The sequence below is a fragment of the Homo sapiens genome, chromosome 4 (genome assembly GCF_000001405.40).
Source record: "Homo sapiens chromosome 4, GRCh38.p14 Primary Assembly".
Taxonomy (NCBI): Eukaryota; Metazoa; Chordata; class Mammalia; order Primates; family Hominidae; genus Homo; species Homo sapiens.
Genome location: NC_000004.12, coordinates 103,186,482 through 103,205,413, shown reverse-complemented (window position 1 = coordinate 103,205,413; position 18,932 = coordinate 103,186,482). Strand labels below are relative to the sequence as shown.

The 18,932-nt window shown below is 38.3% G+C and overlaps 1 protein-coding gene across 17 annotated transcripts in view, besides 1 other annotated feature; it reads left to right on the top strand.

Moving 5' to 3' along the window:
* Positions 6,655-7,209: an enhancer, noted in NCBI's record as "H3K27ac hESC enhancer chr4:104119362-104119916 (GRCh37/hg19 assembly coordinates)". NCBI's record gives its function as "activates a minimal SCP1, AML or CMV promoter by ChIP-STARR-seq in primed H9 embryonic stem cells {active_cell/tissue: H9 hESC(primed)}" and the evidence as "EXISTENCE:reporter gene assay evidence [ECO:0000049][PMID:30033119]".
* CENPE (centromere protein E) overlaps positions 7,071-18,932 on the top strand; it is a 92,533-nt gene continuing 80,671 nt past the window's right edge. For all 17 annotated transcript variants that reach the window (XM_047449534.1, XM_047449541.1, XM_047449533.1 and 14 more), the window contains exons 1-8: positions 7,071-7,150; positions 8,564-8,655; positions 9,162-9,251; positions 9,376-9,494; positions 10,181-10,300; positions 10,730-10,811; positions 10,973-11,040; positions 11,120-11,185. In XM_047449534.1, coding sequence (XP_047305490.1) covers positions 7,095-7,150; positions 8,564-8,655; positions 9,162-9,251; positions 9,376-9,494; positions 10,181-10,300; positions 10,730-10,811; positions 10,973-11,040; positions 11,120-11,185 — 693 coding nt within the window. In that variant the 5' untranslated portion in view covers positions 7,071-7,094. The remainder of the gene's footprint in view (positions 7,151-8,563; positions 8,656-9,161; positions 9,252-9,375; positions 9,495-10,180; positions 10,301-10,729; positions 10,812-10,972; positions 11,041-11,119; positions 11,186-18,932) is intronic.

The following is an 18,932-nucleotide window of genomic DNA, read 5'->3' as shown; positions in this document are numbered from 1 at the left end:
TAACACAGATCACTTTTCCTACTCCCTCACAAATCTGTATTCAATTTTACACTCATCCATACTCAATTTGAACAAGTTTCCTTTAAAAATTTTTTTATTTTTTTTAACTGACAAAAAGTACTTATATTTATGGGGTACAATATGAGTTTAATAGTATGTATATATTGTGGAATGGCTAAATCAAGCTAATTAATATATGCATTACCTCACATATTTTTGTGTGAGTAACTTAAAATCTATTCTCTTAGCGATTCAATTTTCTTTCCTTAATGAAGACATTATAGAATTATTGAAGCTGAAAAAAACCCTTAGAAATTTTCTCATCCAATTATCTCATTGTATGGATGAGAAAATGGTGACACACAGAGATAAATGATTTTCCAATGCAGCATAGCTTAGAAATAGTCTTTGGACTGACCCAGGCCAGAGCAGTTCCCATGATGCCATACAAATCCCCTGTTACTGTGATTAAAAGGTGAGAAATACTATGTCTGTGATCATTACAAATAGATGTCTCCAAATAGATGTCTTTCAAATAGATGCTTTGAAAATTAGGCATTCTCTCTGTTAAACAAAAATTACTCCTATTTAGGCCATAATCCTAAGCAACTTAATGCAGGAACAGAAAATAAAATACTGCATGTTCTTACTTATAAGCAGAGCTAAACATTTACCACACATGGACATAAATATGGGAACAATAGACACTGTGGTCTACTAGAAGGGAGAGAGAGGGAGGGAGGAGGGAGTTGAAAAACTACCTATCAGGCACTATGCTCACTATGGATGATATCCATACCCCAAACTTCAGCATCACACAATATTCCCATGTGACAAATCTGCACATGTACTTCCTGTACCTAAAATAAAATTTGAAATAAAAATTACCCCATTGAAGGTGATTATATGTAATAAGTATATTACTATTAATTTTCTATGAAATGCATTAAAATGAGAGAGAACAGGTGAGTAATTTGAATTGATGTATATTTTTAATATCAGTAGCTTCTCCGAATCCTACAGTTTGCACCATATTCACACTCTTCAAAATACCATTCAAGGCTATGCCATGTTTTGGGAAAGATTACAGTGCCCTCTGCAGCTTCAGCATAAATAACACAGTTGGGGAAAAAAACAGTAATTGAAACATCAACATAAAAGTGTGTGCAATTAATATGCCTCAGAAATTCACTTTTCTTCCTAAACTGAATGAAAACACTTACATAAAGATCATATTTAAGCACAGTTCACTACAGCATGTATGACAGGTACCTTTTTGTGTAAAAGATATGCAATATAGAAAAAGATGTATATGTGTGCCTATCTGTAAATTATTTTGATGAGAACACTTTAGGAAATGGCACAGTTGCCTCTGGGGAGGTGAAATGACACCTTAGGAGTCAATGTAGGAAGATTTGTTTTTCACTGTGAATCTTCTGTTCATTTGAATCTTTTGACCATATGCAGGTATTAATCTTTCAGGTAAAAAAAAAAATTAACAAAAAATTTCGATTGCCTATCAGAGAAATGGTAGGCATCCAAATGTTAAGCCTCTCTTGCCAGAAGTTCCATAACTTTAGATAGGTTATTTAATCTTTATGCTTTCCCTTACCACTCAATTTCTTTTTATTTTTATATTTTTTAACTTTTTTTTAGTCAGATTTACTTGATCCATCTCTTTTTTATTAGAACATGTTTATTTCTTTTTTCTCTTTTTGAAATATTTTCTAGATTTAGGGGGTACATCTGTGCATGTCATGCAGTTGTGTTACATGGATATATTGCGTAGTGATGAAATTTGGGTTTTTAGTGTTCCCATAACCCAAATAGTGAACATTGTACCAAATGGTTAGTATTGCATCCCTCAGTCCCCTCACACTCTCCCACCTTTTGGAGTTGCCAGTGTCTATTATTCACTCTATATGTCTGATATGGTTTGGCTGTGTCCCCACCACATCTCATCTTGAATTTTAATCCCCATAATCCCCATGTGTCATGGTAAGGACCTGAAGTGACTGGATCATGGGGATGGTTTCTCTCATGCTGTTCTCTGTTACTGAGTGAGTTCTCAAGAGATCTGATGGTTTTATAAGTGTCTGGCATTTCCCCTGCTCCCACTCACTCTCCTGCCTCCTTGTGGAAAAGGTGCCTGCTTCTGCTTCGCCTTCCACCATGATTGTGTTTTCTGAAGGCTCCCTAGCCATGCAGAACTGTGAATCAATTAAACCTCTCTATAAATCACCCAGTCTCGGGTATTTCTTTATAGCACCATGAGAACAGACTATTACAATGTTCATGTGTACTCATTGATTAACTCTCACTTATAAGTGACAACATGCAGTTTTTGACTTCCTGTTTCTGAGTCATTTCACTTGGGACAATGGCCTCCAGTTCCATGCATGTTGGTTATTATCCTTTTATTTTATTTATTGATTTTTAATTTATTTATTTCATGAATAAGTTCTTTAGTGGTTATTTCTGAGATTTTGGTGCAGCCATCAACCAAGCAGTGTACACTGTACCCAATGTGTAGACTTTCATCTCTCACCCCCTCCCACCCTTTCCCCCAAGTCCCCAAAGTTCATTGTATCATTCTTATGCCTTTGAGTCCTCATAGCTTAGCTCTCACTTATAAGTGAGAACATATGACGTTTGGTTTTCCATTTCTGAGTTACTTCACTTAGAATAATGGTCTCCAATTCCATCCAGGTTGCTGTGAATCCCATTATTTCATTCCTTTTCATGGCTGAGTAGTATTCCATAGTATGTATACACCACAATACTCTGGATTATCTTATTAGAAGCAGCCCTGCCTCTTCACAATTTAGTCATGAAAAAGGATAATCTCTATGAGCTCAGAGCTAGATAACCAAAACAAATCTGAATGAGTAGACTCCATTTTACACACTGATTTATGTCAACTAATTTCTTTAACTTGAGAGAAACTAATATTCATGTGGTTAAAATATTGTTATGAAATAATATAAAATGAAAGGTGAATCTGTTTTCCAACTCAGTCCTTTCCCTCCAAAGAAAGCTAGGTGTATTCTGTGTATCTTTCCAGAAATTATGCCAATAAGTATTTGAGTAATACTTAAGTAATAAGTAATTTTTAATTGAACGTTTACTCTATGCCAAGCATCTTTGTACACACAGGGGACAAGGAGTAAACAAAAACTATGTCACTCTAGTGGGAGGAGACATATATACATAAATTAATACTCATACACATATTATGTCTAAAAGTTACAAATAATCTTGTAACTAATTTAAGAAGAAGATTTAAGAAATAGAAGTAACATACAATGGAGTTGGTGTTTTATAGAGAGAGAGCTATGAGAGGGTGACATTTGAGTAAACACTGGAATCAATGGGAAGGAGGGAAACATGTATATCTGGAGTGAAAGCCTTCCATCCAGACACAGCAGCCAGTGCAAAGGTCTCAAGAGGGGGTTTGTCTGGGATTCAGGAAACTGCCCATGGCCCGTGTGGCTGGAGTGGGGAGAGCAAAGGGGAGGGACAGTGGTAGGAGGTAAGGCCAGAGCACAAACAAAGGGCAAGATCATGTGAGGCTTGGGAGACAACTGAAAGACGTTGGGTTTTGTTCTGAGAGAAATCAGAGGGTGGGGGTGAAGGTGTGGCACTGGGGGTCTTGAGAGAGGAGTGACATGATCTGACACATTTTCACAGAATCATTCAAATTGCTGTGTTGAGAACAGACTGGCAGTGGGGGTGGGCAAGGGTGGAAACACTGAGATTAGCTCAGTGCCAGATGATGATATTTCGGACCAGGTAGCTGAAGCGTAAGTTGTGACAAACTTTTCATAGTCTGAAATTTTCTCAAGGTGGCCCTGACAGAATTTTCAGGTGAGAAGCTGAGCAGCATGGCTCCAGAGTCTGCACCTGGATAACTGGAAGGATGGACTTGCCAACAACTGAGAAGCAGAAAACTGCTGATTGAGCAGATTTTGAGGGGAAGAGCATGAATTTGGTATTAGACATTTTAAGTTTGCCATATATATTAGACACTCAATATGGGAGGAATTAAGGCATATGTTTGCTGTTAAGACTGGTTTTCTAGAGCAGGAGAAAATGACAAGCAGGACAGAGAGTGAGAAGGAGAGGACTGTATCCAGTGCACACATGGAGAGTTTCCAGAGTGGAAAACACACAGATGTTTATAAAGTTACAGTCTGGAAGGCGAGTATGCAAGCACAAATGCACATAGTGAGTAGCCAGATTGACAGGAATTAGGGCAAAGTCTTTTCTGGAAGCTTCTATTTTCATAGTGAAATAAAGAGTGTCTTGTTTGAAGGAATTAATGAATCCCTTTTTACCCCCTTGCTTAAAACCCTCCATAGGCTTCCCCTCACCCTTGAGAATAAGATCCAAACATTTTATCACAGCCCACAAGGCCCCATGGGTCCTGGACCTGGACCTGCCTACCTCTCTCCATTGCCACAAATGCTTCAGTCACAGGGCCCTCCCCTTTGTGTCTCAGACAGATGACAAACTCGATCAAGCCTTGGCTTCTTTGACTTACTTGTTCCTCTGTCTGGTACGCCCTTTCTCTTGTCCTCCCAAGTCTGGCTCACTCTTCTCACATAGGTTTCACTTCAAAGGTCACCTCCTCAGGTCTTTCTTGAACATCTCATCTAAAATAAACCTTCCTCCCAACACATTATTTTACTATATATTTGTTATGTATTGTCTGCTGCTTCCCACAAGAATGTGTTTCATAAGAAACTAGCACTCTTAACCCACCTTATCACTCTCTCTCTGTCTCCTGATCCTATTAATCATTACATTATGTGTGTGTGTGTGTGTGTGTGTGTGTGTGTGTGTGTGTGTGTGTAGAGAGAGAGAGAGAGAGACTGAGATTTTTCTGTATTACCCATCTCCTCTAAGAGAATAGCAACTCTACAACAACAGGTACTGTGTCTATTCTATTTACTGTTGTGCTTCCTGACCTTAGAACCGTATCTGGCACATAACAGTTGTTCAATGAATATTTCTTGATGAACAATTTGGAAAGTCAGATGAAAAAATTGGATAGAGAGCATATAATAGAGAGCCTGGCATATAGTAAATCTTCAATAAATGTCACCTGCTGTGATGATAAAAAAAGACAGTCATAGCAACGATCATAAGCACAACTATGAAAGGCTGATGACTTCTCTTTACTCGTGAACCAATCTCCTCTTGTCTCATTAGAAATTTTGATTAATCACATCTCCCTTCTTCTTCATAGGTTCCTTGCCTTCAGCTGTCTCATATTTGCCCACAATTAAAACAAAAACAACAGTTAAAATATACCTTCCTTAACTCTGTATTTTCTTACTAGATACAACCAAGTATCTTTACAGTCTAGCAATAAAAAAGAGTTGTTTATACTACCTCACAGCTAGTTAACCAAAACAAATCTTGAATGAATAGACTCATTTTTCTTTACTGTTCTTATCTATAAACTAGTTTCTTTAAATTGAAAGAAACTACTTTCATCTAACTCAGTCTACCATCTAACTCAGTCCTCACTCTGCAAGGAAATTAGGCATATTCTGTGTATCTTTCCAAAAATTATGTATGTATATCCAGACATATTCTGTGTACATAACCGTGCACCTTGAATTTCTCTTAATAAATGAAACATCTTGGATAGCTTTCTAAAGTACACATAAAAAGCTAGGCCAGGCACGATGGCTCATGCTTGTAATCCCAGCACTTTGGGAGGCCAAGGCAAGGAGGATTGCTTGAGCCTAGGAGTTCAAGACCTGCCTAGGCAACACTGTGAGACCCCACTCCCTACCCTAATCCCCCCACCACCCCGTCTCTACAAAAAAATTTAAAAATTATCTGGGCTTGTGATGTGCCTGTAATCCAAGCTACTCAGGAGGTTAAGGTGGGAACCCCACTTGGGCTGAGGCCAGGAGTTGAGCCTGCAGTGAGCTGTGTTCAGCCTACTGCACTCTAGCCTAGGTGACAAAGCAAGAACTCATGTTTATTTAAAAAAAAAAAAAAAAAAAAAAGAGAGAGAGAGAAGAAAGGGAAAATAAGCATTATTTTTGGGAAAAAATCACTGTATTTAGAATAGCTTTCCCTCTTAGTTAATAAAAGTAACAAACCAGGCCAGGAGCGGTGGCTCACGCCTTTAATCCCAGCACTTTTGGAGACCGAGGCAAGTGGATCACCTGAGGTCAGGACTTTGAGACCAGCCTTGCCAACATGGCGAAGCCCCGTCTCTACTAAAAATACAAAAATTACCTGGGCGTGGTGGCGGGCACCTTGTAATCCCAGCTACTGGGGAGGCTGAGGCAGGAGAATCACTTGAATGCAGGAGGTGGAGGCTGCAATGAGCAGAGATAAGCACCACTGCACTCCAGCCTGGGGTGACAGAGCGAGACTCCGTTTCCAAAAAAAAGAAGAAAAAAAAAGTATCAACCCATTACTCAATGAGTTTTTCAGTCCTCGGTATTTATTTTCCCTAATTCAACCTCTGAGGAAGCCACAGCTAATGGAAACGAGTTACAGAGAGAGAGAAACAGGAGAAAAGCCTAAACTCAGATTTTCTAAGGCGCACAACAGGCTTGTCACGTTTCTGGACTGGACAGCGAATTTCAACTCTTGCTGTTGAAAGTTTATTTTAAACTGTTGGTGCAGTTTCTTTAAAAGACGGCAATTCTGTTTGGGTAGTGAAAAATACATGTATCTCTACCTAGTTTCGTCTACAGGTTCCAAACTTTTTAAGGATGGGGTGGAGGATGACGTTCGCTAGCTTTTGGCAGATAATAGTATTCTGGTATTCCAGGACCACCACTCTCTGCCCACTCCTGGGAGCCCCTCCCTTCGGCCCTCTCCTCCGACTCTCTGCTGGGCCCTTTAAATCCCCTCTCCTGTTTAGCAGTGGTCACGCCGCCCGCCTTGCGTCCCCCGCGCTGCTCCGCACGTGGAATGGCCCATGACGTCACGAGGCCACGGCTCAATCAGATGCGGCGTTTGGGAAATTTTAAATTTAAAGGCGGGGCGGCCTGTGAGCCCTGAAGTGCCGGCCGCGGAGGGTCCTGGCCATTTTCCTGGGACCAGTTCAGCCTGATAGGATGGCGGAGGAAGGAGCCGTGGCCGTCTGCGTGCGAGTGCGGCCGCTGAACAGCAGGTAGGGGGGCCACACCACGGCCCGGTGCCCGCTGGGCCTGCGGCGCCGCCCTGAGCCGGAGGGGCGAGGCCTACGATGTTTCCAGGAGCCGCTGCTTCCCGGCTCTGCTGTCTAGTGACTCGGCTGCTGGCCATCGTTTCAGGGTCTGTAAAGTGACAGGGGAGGATCGGAGATCTAGAAGATACTTTCCAGCTGCGAGATTCACTTAAATTTAACTCAGTCTCGCTGACATACAGACCTTCCCTTCTGTGCTGCTCTGCCTTGCGGCATCTGCTCCTCCCTGCCCCATTCCCCGCCTAGAGAAGTCGTATGGGACCGTGCCTTCCTGGCCCTCATCACAGTTAGTCATTTTACACCTAACTGCTGTCTCCAGACCCTCTGAAGACAAGGGCTAGTCTGTCTTGTCACATTACATTCAATCGTCACTCAAGATCATTCTACAAATATTTATCAATTTTTTTTTAGTGACTTTGTACAACACAGACACTCCCGTCATTGCCCAGTGGCTCTTCCATTCTAATGGGACGAGACAGAAAGTAAAGTTGAAAATGTAGGATGTTAAGTGGTGATATGTAGGTAATAAGTGCTAGGGAGAAAAAGCAGGAAGAGGAATAAATGAAATCGGTTTGCTTCACTAGCTTCTGGCCCTCGACCCGAAATGCTAACACTTTGTGTGTGTGAGAAATTTTTATTGAACACGGGGTTTAATAAATGCAAATACCAAGATCAGGAATTTCCTATTTTTGAGGAGCTCATTATCTAATGCCTTAAACGGCTACATAAAGAAACCATTAGGATACCTTTTGACAAGTGTTATGATGGGCAGGTAGAGAATGTTTGCTAGAGGAGTTATTAGCCCATCAGAGACGAAAGCTTCCCGTGGGGTGAACTGGTGTCAGAAAAGTCTTGACGCTTTTCATGAGTGAAATAATCCCTATGTTACTTAATGGAAAGGGAAGTCAGAGTATTCCAGGCACAGAGAGGTTACATCTGTCATTTGGGGAAGACCTTCAGGTAGAGCTTAGGATGTATCTAGGAATTCAGAGGAAAATGGAAGAGAGAAATGACATGATCTAGGACTCGTGCCCTGCTGAGGATTTCATAAGTTTCCAAAAGGTTTTAAGAATTTTAAGCAAGACAGACATAATCAGAGTTGCATTTTGAATCCATCCCTTTGTTTACCAGTACTGGGGGAGAGGGTGAGAATGAAAGCCTTCACAAGAAAACACTTTTGAGGCGGCAGAAGGTCACTGAAGCTCCATTTAAGAGTTGAATCCTCAAAGATGGACTTTCTGTCATTCTCTTATGTTACTATCTTTCAAAATATTCTTTAGCAGGTGAAATCTTTTCAATTATTCCTCCTATGACATGACTTTTATGACTGGTTAAAATGCGGTGTTTTTATTCTTTTAGAGAAGAATCACTTGGAGAAACTGCCCAAGTTTACTGGAAAACTGACAATAATGTCATTTATCAAGTTGATGGAAGTAAATCCTTCAATTTTGGTAAGCTTATAATAGCATCAAAAGTTACCTTGTTATCCTTTTGCTATTAAAAGTACAAAAGGCTTATCAATAATATTAGATTTGTCACTAAAGATTAGACTAAGCCTTCTATAAACTGCTTCACTGGAAACAAAATTGTTTATCCATCATGTATTTAAGTAAGGTAACCAATTGGCATTTAAAACAGTTATAATCACAGTTATCTAATTTGCATCTAGGTAGATTCCAGACCCCCATGTGCAAACACTATACCTTATTGCCTCTTGAAAGAACATAGAAAAGTTGACTTGTAGTGTATTTTTTGTGTGTGAAAATGAACTCATTTTACCTTAGGGAAGGGTATTTTCAGAGAACCAAAAAGTTGAAAAAAATACTGTGTCTTAAATAGTTGATCATCCTACATTCTGACAGTTTTACTTTTGGGAATAATTACTAATTTGGAATGAAAACACAGTGGACTCATTTGATTTAACTTCTGTGTTGTTGTTGTTGTTGTTGTTGTTTAGATCGTGTCTTTCATGGTAATGAAACTACCAAAAATGTGTATGAAGAAATAGCAGCACCAATCATCGATTCTGCCATACAAGGCTACAATGGTTTGTATTCACTCAATGCTGCAGAAACATTTTAGTCTTGGGCGTCTGTGCAACAAGCATGCATAGTTTTACCCATTATAGGTTTGTTTTTAATCTTTGCGTATGTGTGTTTTGTTTTTTGCAGGTACTATATTTGCCTATGGACAGACTGCTTCAGGAAAAACATATACCATGATGGGTTCAGAAGATCATTTGGGAGTTATACCCAGGGCAATTCATGACATTTTCCAAAAAATTAAGAAGGTAAGTAACTTAACTGGATTTCTAGTACGTACAGGTAAAACTAGTAAAAACTGGGTACCAGTCTTAGTGTATTTCTCTTGTAAAGATGAAAGGAAGTAGATTTACAGTTATTGTTTGATTATCCATGGGGAAAGAAGAAAGGCATAGCATAGATTCACTTTTATCTCCACAACTTACTTTATAAAGCTTAAAGTTCTTTTATTCTTTCTCTTGAATTCTGCAACAATAATACTCTCAACAAAAAGTAGGCATTAAGGAACAAGAAAATGTTATCAGAATGGTTAGCTCCACCTAACCATTTAACTATCAGTGATTATAAAGGAACAGTAGAAAGTGGATGTAGGTAAAAAAAGAAGGGAAGCAGAAAGCCAGAATAGGCAACCGAGTTAGTTGGTTTCAAATTAGCATTTTTATTAAAATAAGAACATCTTTTGAGAGGGTTTTATTTTGAGCCTAGAGTTTGAGCCTAGAGTTGGTGTTCTCCCAGCTTTATGGTACTTCACTTTTCATTATTTCTGTAACGATGCTTTTATATTTTTGTGTTCATTATTTTGTCAACAGTAGAACCAAGGGGTTTCTTAGTTTGTTTTACATACATTTTACCTCTTTAAGCACATGAGCATTTAGCATTAGGTTTTCACAATTGGATGCTTCCTGGTGTTTTTATATAATTTTTTTTCTTCTAGTTTCCTGATAGGGAATTTCTCTTACGTGTATCTTACATGGAAATATACAATGAAACCATTACAGATTTACTCTGTGGCACTCAAAAAATGAAACCTTTAATTATTCGAGAAGATGTCAATGTGAGTAGCAGACTTAAGGGAGCTTTAAAATTGACTGACTTATTGAGATTATTGTTCTTGAATGTTTACCTTTAATTTCTATAGTTTTTAAAGTGTCTCCTATTTCTATAGTATGTGAGGGTTTTTTTGAAGTATTTATATTCATCTTTTAAACAATATGAATAGTTTTAAAATACTGACAGCTCTAATATTTTGGTTTAAGTGTAAAAATAGCAAGTTGGAAGTATCAGGTTAGAATTTGTTGTGCTTTGGTATGTGAAATAAATTGTGGGTATTCATAGAATTATTTGTTACATTCCTACAGAATTATGGTTCCATTTGCCACTTTTAACTTTCACAAATGAATTCTATAATAGTTTGCACCTTCTTTTGAAAAGCAAACTTGTGACTTCTATTTCTCTAATCTTTCCATAATTAAACTTGTTTCAGAGGAATGTGTATGTTGCTGATCTCACAGAAGAAGTTGTATATACATCAGAAATGGCTTTGAAATGGATTACAAAGGGAGAAAGTAAGACTTTATGCTGTATTTCTTTAGAACACTTGTAAAAACTATCTTTTCAATCAAGCACGTTTGGACCTCAAATCATACTTTTTTAAGTTAAAATAAAAATTATTGTGTTTCTATGGATTTTATTATATATGCAGCTGAAATATAACTCATTTTTACAGAGAGCAGGCATTATGGAGAAACAAAAATGAATCAAAGAAGCAGTCGTTCTCATACCATCTTTAGGATGGTAGGTAATTCTATCTATCTGTTAGATCTTTCCAAGTAAGAATGCACTAATTTTTCTACAGCTTGCCTTTTCTATCTAGATTTTGGAAAGCAGAGAGAAGGGTGAACCTTCTAATTGTGAAGGATCTGTTAAGGTATCCCATTTGGTGAGTATTAATGAACCATAATAATGTACTGTATGGGCCAAAACAAAATTTAATTTAGTTGCTGGATGTTTGGTTTAATAAGAACTGTTAACTAAACTAAATGTGGGAGGAAATCTACAAATTGTCTGCTTAGTCTTGTCAGTATCATCAAATTCCTAGCTAAAATGTCGTAGGAAAAATTCAGAGGATCTTTCTTCCTGTTATGTCATGGTTGCCATCTCCTAAAATTTAAATGTCAGGGCTATAGGGTTATAGGAATTGATGTTTTTTCTAACCACTAATGCAGTAGAATTTTTTTCTATACACATTTAACACTTTAGATCATCTTAGAATTTGAGGGTCTTTTTGTAAAATCTCAGCCAATGTAATTTAGACTTATGTGATCAACAAAAATCTAGGTTGGATGGTTAAAAAGTAATCACATTACTTTAGGTTTTACTTAAGTACAACAATAAAATATATTTTGTATTGTAAACGTAGTACTTTAGACTGTAAATCCATTGAGGAGTGATACTGCATTCATCCTGGTAGCCCCAACACATTATACCTATTTTATGTCTAATATAGATTTGCTGAATAAGCGAATATATGCATTATGCAAACATTCCTATATTCCACATTAGTAAACCTTCACTTCCTTCTTTCCACACTAAATTATTGCTGTTTCTTTCTTGCTCCTTTTCTATCTTTTACCATATTGCTTTATTCTGCATTTTTAGGGCCTAAATTCTTTAGCTTGATGTGGGATATGATTTAAGATTATTTGATTAGAAAACTTCAGGGAAAAAAGCAATCTATAATATGTTTATTCATTTTCAGATTTTATAAAATTAGATTATTAATTACTTAATATTCAATCCTAATTTCACCTTAGCTATTTTGCTATAAAATTGTATAACTTATTTTAGTAGACTTTAATCTTGTTTTAATTTAACAATAAAAAACCAAACCCTAACCTCTTTAGTTTTCTCATCCAAGACTGTGATATTTCATATAATTTTAACTTTTAATAATTTAGCTTTAATACTCTTGGCATATTCAGTGATCTACTTGATGATTTTCCTCATGTTACGTGATGCTCTGTCATTTGTGTTCCATCTGTTCCAACCCTCCAGCCTACCCACTTACTCTAAGAATCTTCTTGGAAAGAAGTCTCTAAAGAGTCATCTCTGTCTCTTTAGAGGTGGCTCTTTTCTGATTATCTCCTGGCCTTGGTGGGATGATAATATCCAGTTTCTCTTAGCTGTACTCCTCTGTTTTCTACCCTGGCTTCTTTTTCCCTACCCTCCTAAAAAAATAATTAAAAAAAAAAAAACTTGGAGGTATTCTGTGACGTTTCTTACTCAAGTTCTTGCTCTCAAATGTTCTGTCATCATTTCCATGTTGATGACTGCCAAATATTTTACCTATAGTCTCTGAATTCTAATTCATGTCTTCCTAAAGATGGTTATAATTGTGTCCCATCATTATCTCAAACTTTAATATGTCTAAAACGAAACTATTTTCTTCCTACCATAGTGAATATTCCTTATTTCCAGTAAAACCAGCATTATCCTAGCTGCCTAAGCTGGAAACCTAAGTCAATTTTGACTCATCTTTTTCTGCCTTTCTCTTTGTCCACTTGTCCCATTTCTTACTGATCCTACCTTTAAACATTTCCATGGGTGCTACACTCATTTACTTTCTCATCTCTCTTGAATTACTATGTCAGTCTCCTGGAACCTTGTCTCCATGACCCTTGTCTTTGTTTCTTGAAGTCATCATAAGGATTTCGAATATACTAACCATTGCTTTTGTATATCACTTCCTGGGGCAAGATTTGGCCACTCTTAACCAATCTAACTTTATTTCCTTCTGCTCTACATGAACTCCTCCCTCATAGATTGGGCCTCTGAGTATCTTTGAATATGAATGCTTGTTCTCATCTTTAACCTTCACTCATGCTGCCTTCATTACCACTTTGCCCTTTTATTATGTATCTGTGTCATCTGTAGTGGACACTGTGCAAGAAAAATTAGCCTCCTTAACTGGTAATACATATTTACCTGCCTAGTCTCAAAAATCTCCACAGAGAGAAATAACGTAAAGCTTTGACTTTCTTTCAAATCACTCACAATATTTACTAAGTTGTTATTGTCTTCTGAGCATGGTGTTGGGCTCTGAGATTAAAAAAACAATAAACAAGACACCCCTTCACTGCTTCTCTTACAAGCAGTCTCCTCTGCCACCTCCCTAACCCAAGCTGGTATTATCTCTCACCGAGATTCCTGCCCCAGCTGCCTGATGGGGCTGCCTGCAGCTGCTCTTGCCCCTTCCCAATCCATCCTCCACCCAGTAGTCATAGTGGATCCATTGTGAGAGTCATTGCTGAGCTTTATGCAAGGTTCTCTTTTTTTTTCCAGTTTTACGTTTTTTTATTTTTATTTATTTTTTTATTATACTTTAAGTTTTAGGGTACATGTGCACAACATGCACGTTTGTTACATATGTATACATGTGCCATGTTGGTATACTGCACCCATTAACTCGTCATTTACATTAGGTATATCTCCTAATGCTATCCCCCCCTCCCCCCACCCCACAACAGGCCCCGGTGTGTGATGTTCCCCTTCCTGTGTCCACGTGTTCTCATTGTTCAGTTCCAACCTATGAGTGAGAACATGCGGTGTTTGGTTTTTTGTCCTTGCGATAGTTTGCTGAGAATGATGGTTTCCAGCTTCATCCATGTCCCTACAAAGGACATGAACTCATCATTTTTTATGGCTGCATAGAATTTCATGGTGTATATGTGCCACATTTTCTTAATCCAGTCTACCATTGTTGGACATTTGGGTTGGTTCCAAGTCTTTGCTATTGTGAATAGTGCTACAATAAATATACGTGTGCATGTGTCTTTATAGCAGCATGATTTTATAATCCTTTGGGTATATACCCAGTAATGGGATGGCTGGGTCAAATGGTATTTCTAGTTCTAGATCCCTGAGGAATCACCACACTGTCTTCCACAATGGCTGAAGTAGTTTACAGTCCCACCAACAGTGTAAAAGTGTTCCTATTTCTCCACATCCTCTCCAGCACCTGTTGTTCCCTGACTTTTTAACGATTGCCATTCTAACTGGTGTGAGATGGTATCTCATTGTGGTTTTGATTTGCATTTCTCTGATGGCCAGTGATGATGAGCATTTTTTCGTGTGTCTTTTGGCTGCATAAATGTCTTCTTTTGAGAAGTGTCTGTTCATATCCTTCGCCCACTTGTCGATGTGGTTGTTTGTTTTTTTTTTTTCTAAATTTGTTTGAGTTCTTTATATATTCTGGATATTAGCCCTTTGTCAGATGAGTAGATTGCAAAAATTTTCTCCCTTTCTATAGGTTGCCTGTTCACTCTGATGGTAGTTTCTTTTGCTGTACAGAAGCTCTTTAGTTTACTTAGATCCCATTTTGTCAATTTTGGCTTTTGTTGTCATTGCTTTTGGTGTTTTAGACATGAAGTCCTTGCCCATGCCTATGTCCTGAATGGTATTGCCTAGGTTTTCTTCTAGGGTTTTTATGGTTTTAGGTCTCACATTTAAGTCTTTAATCCATCTTGAATTAATTTTTGTATAAGGTGTAAGGAAGGGATCTGGTTTCAGCTTTCTACATATGGCTAGCCAGTTTTCCCAGCACCATTTATTAAATAGGCAATCCTTTCTCCATTTCTTGTTTTTATCAGGTTTGTCAAAGATCAGATAGTTGTAGATATGTGGCATTATTTCTGAGGGCTCTGTTCCTTTCCATTGGTCTATATCTCTGTTTTGGTACTAGTACCATGCTGTTTTGGTTACTGTAGCCTTGTAGTATAGTTTGAAGTCAGGTAGCATGATGCCTCCAGCTTTGCTCTTTTGGCTTAGGATTGACTTGGCAATGCGGGCTCTTTTTTGGTTCCATATGAACCTTAAAGTAGTTTTTTCCAGTTCTGTGAAGAAAAGTCATTGGTAGCTGATGGGGATGGCAATGAATCTATAAATTACCTTGGGCAGTATGGCCATTTTCACGATATTGATTCTTCCTACCCATGAGCATGGAATGTTCTTCCATTTGTTTGTATCCTCTTTTATTTCCTTGAGCAGTGGTTTGTAGTTCTCCTTGAAGAGGTCCTTCACATCCCTTATAAGTTGGATTCCTAGGTATTTTATTCTCTTTGAAGCAATTGTGAATGGGAATTCACTCATGATTTGTCTCTCTGTTTGTCTGTTATTGGTGTATAAGAATGCTTGTGATTTTTGCACATTGATTTTGTATCCTGAGACTTTGCTGAAGTTGCTTATCAGCCTAAGGAGATTTTGGGCTGAGACGATGGGGTTTTCTAGATACACAATCATGTCATCTGCAAACAGGGACAATTTGACTTCCTCTTTTCCTAATTGAATACCCTTTATTTCCTCCTCCTGCCTGATTGCTCTGGCCAGAACTTCCAACACTATGTTGAATAGGAGTGGTGAGAGAGGGCATCCTTGTCTTGTGCCAGTTTTTAAAGGGAATGCTTCGAGTTTTTGCCCATTCAGTATGATATTGCCTGTGGGTTTGTCATAGATAGCTGTTATTATTTTGAGATACGTCCCATCAATACCTAACTTATTGAGAGTTTTTAGCATGAAGTGTTGTTGAATTTTGTTAAAGGCCTTTTCTGCATCTATTGAGATAATCATGTGGTTTTTGTCTTTGGTTCTGTTTATAGGCTGGATTACGTTTATTGATTTTTGTATGTTAAACCAGCCTTGCATCCCAGAGATGAAGCCCACTTGATCATGGTGGATAAGCTTTTTGATGTGCTGCTGGATTCTGTTTGCCAGTATTTTATTGAGGATTTTTGTATCGATGTTCATCAGGGGTATTGGTCTGAAATTCTCTTTTGTTGTTGTGTCTCTGCCAGGCTTTGGTTTCAGGATGATGCTGGCCTCATAAAATGAGTTAGGGAGGATTCCCTTGTTTTGTATTGATTAGAATAGTTTCAGAAGGAATGGTACCAGCTCCTCCTAGTACCTCTGGTAGAATTCGGCTGTGAATCCATCTGGTCCTGGGCTTCTTTTGGTTGGTAGGCTGTTAATTATTGCCTCAATTTCAGAGCCTGTTTTGGTCTATTCAGAGATTCACTTCTTCCTGATTTAGTCTTGGGAGGGTGTATGTGTCCAGCAATTTATCCATTTCTTCTAGATTTTCTAGTTTATTTGCATAGAGGTGTTTATAGTATTCTCTGATGGTAGTTTGTATTTCTGTGGGATCGGTGATGATATCCCCTTTATCATTTTTTATTGGGTCTATTTGATTCTTCTCTCTTTTCTTCTTTATTAGTCTTGCTAGCGGTCTATCAATTTTGTTGGTCTTTTCAAAAAACCAGCTCCTGGATTCATTGATTTTTTGAAGGGTTTTTTGTGTCTCTGTCTCCTTCAGTTCTGCTCTGATCTTAGTTATTGCTTGCCGTCTGCTAGCTTTTGAATGTGTTTGATCTTGCTTTTCTAGTTCTTTTAATTGTGATGTTAGGGTGTCAATTTTAGATCTTTCCTGCTTTCTCTTGTGGGCGTTTAGTGCTATAAGTTTCCCTCTACACACTGCTTTAAATGTGTCCCAGAGATTCTGGTATGTTGTGTCTTTGTTCTCATTGGTTTCAAAGAACATCTTTATTTCTGCCTTCATTTTGTTATGTACCCAGTAGTCATTCAGGAGCAGGTTGTTCAGTTTCCATGCAGTTGAGCGGTTTTGAGTGAGTTTCTTAATCCTGAGTTCTAGTTTGATTGCACTGTGGTCTGAGAGACAGTTTGTTATCATTTCTGTTCTTTTACATTTGCTGAGGAGTGCTTTACTTCCAACTATGTGGTCAATTTTGGAATAAGTGTGATGTGCTGAGAAGAATGTATATTCTGTTGATTTGGGGTGGAGAGTTCTATAGATGTCTATTAGGTCTGCTTGGTGCAGAGCTGAGTTCAATTCCTGGATATCTTTGTTAACTTTCTGTCTCGTTGATCTGTCTAACGTTGACAGTGGGGTGTTAAAGTCTCCCATTATTATTGTGTGGGAGTCTAAGTCTCTTTGTAGGTCTCTGAGGACTTGCTTTATGAATCTGGGTGCTCCTGTATTGGGTGCATATATATTTAGGATAGTTAGCTCTTCTTGTTGAATTGATCCCTTTACCATTATGTAATGGCCTTCTTTGTCTCTTTTGATCTTTGTTGGTTTAAAGTCTGTTTTATCAGAGACTAGGATTGCAACCCCTGCCTTTTTTTGTTTTCCATTTGCTTGGTAGATCTTCCTCCATCCCTTTATTTTGAGCCTATGTGTGTCTCTGCACATGAGATGGGTTTCCTGAATACAGCACACTGATGGGTCTTGACTATCCAATTTGCCAGTCTGTGTCTTTTCATTGGAGCATTTAGCCTATTTACATTTAAAGTTAATATTGTTATGTGTGAATTTGATCCTGTCATTATGATGTTAGCTGATTATTTTGCTTGTTAGTTGATGCAGTTTCTTCCTAGCCTCAATGGTCTTTACAATTTGGCATGTTTTTGCAGTGGCTATTACCGGTTGTTCCTTTCCATGTTTAGTGCTTCCTTCAGGAGCTCTTGTAAGGCAGGCCTGGTGGTGACAAAATCTCTCAGCATTTGCTTGTCTGTAAAGTATTTTATTTCTCCTTCACTTATGAAGCTTAGTTTGGCTGGATATGAAATTCTGGGTTGAATATTCTTTTCTTTAAGAATGTTGAATATTGGCCCCCACTCTCTTCTGGCTTGTAGAGTTTCTGCTGAGAGATCAGCTGTTAGTCTGATGGGCTTCCCTTTGTGGGTAGCCTGACCTTTCTCTCTGGCTGCCCTTAACATTTTTTCCTTCATTTCAACTTTGGTGAATCTGACAATTATGTGTCTTGGAGTTGCTCTTCTTGAGGAGTATCTTTGTGGCATTCTCTGTATTTCCTGAATTTGATAAAACGTAATGAACAAACCTCCAAGAAATATGGGACTATGTGAAAAGACCAAATCTACGTCTGATTGGTGTGCCTGAAAGTGACAGGGAGAATGGAACAAAGTAGGAAAACACTCTGCAGGATATTATCCAGGAGAACTTCCCCAATCTAGCAAGGCAGGGTTCTATTACTCCCTTGCATAAAGCCCTGCAATGGCTTCTCATTGAATATAAACATTTCAGAGTTTTAGATCTCACTTAAAAAGTCCTGCATAATCTGGCCCCTGTCTACTTCTCTTATTCTGTCTTTTCCTGTCTTCACTTCACCAACTGTGCCACACTGCCTTTTCTATTTTTTTGAACACACTGAGCACATTCTGCTTTGTGACTAAGTGTTTTGGCTATTCTTTTTGTCTAGACTACTGTTTCCCTTGATCTTTTTGGGACCAGCTTCCTCTTCTCAGGTCATTCAGATCGCAGCTTAATGACAAGCCTTCCACTGCTATCCAGTCCTATGAACCTAAAGCTACTGGCCCCTTTTCCAGCTCTATTTAAATAATCTCTGTTACACTTATCACAACATGTTTCTTATTTGTCTTTTTATCTCTTCTTACCAGCCTCCTCCTCTATGTAGAATGTAAGCTCCATGAGAGCAGAGACCTTATTTATTTGTAGCCCTAGCACCTGATGTACTTCCTGGAGCATAATAAGCAGCCACTTCTTTTCAGTAATATTTGTGAAATGAAAGAGAGGTCCAGCTCTTAAAGATGCCACAGTAAAGTCATGGTATTGCTACAGCATAGTACAGCTAGCA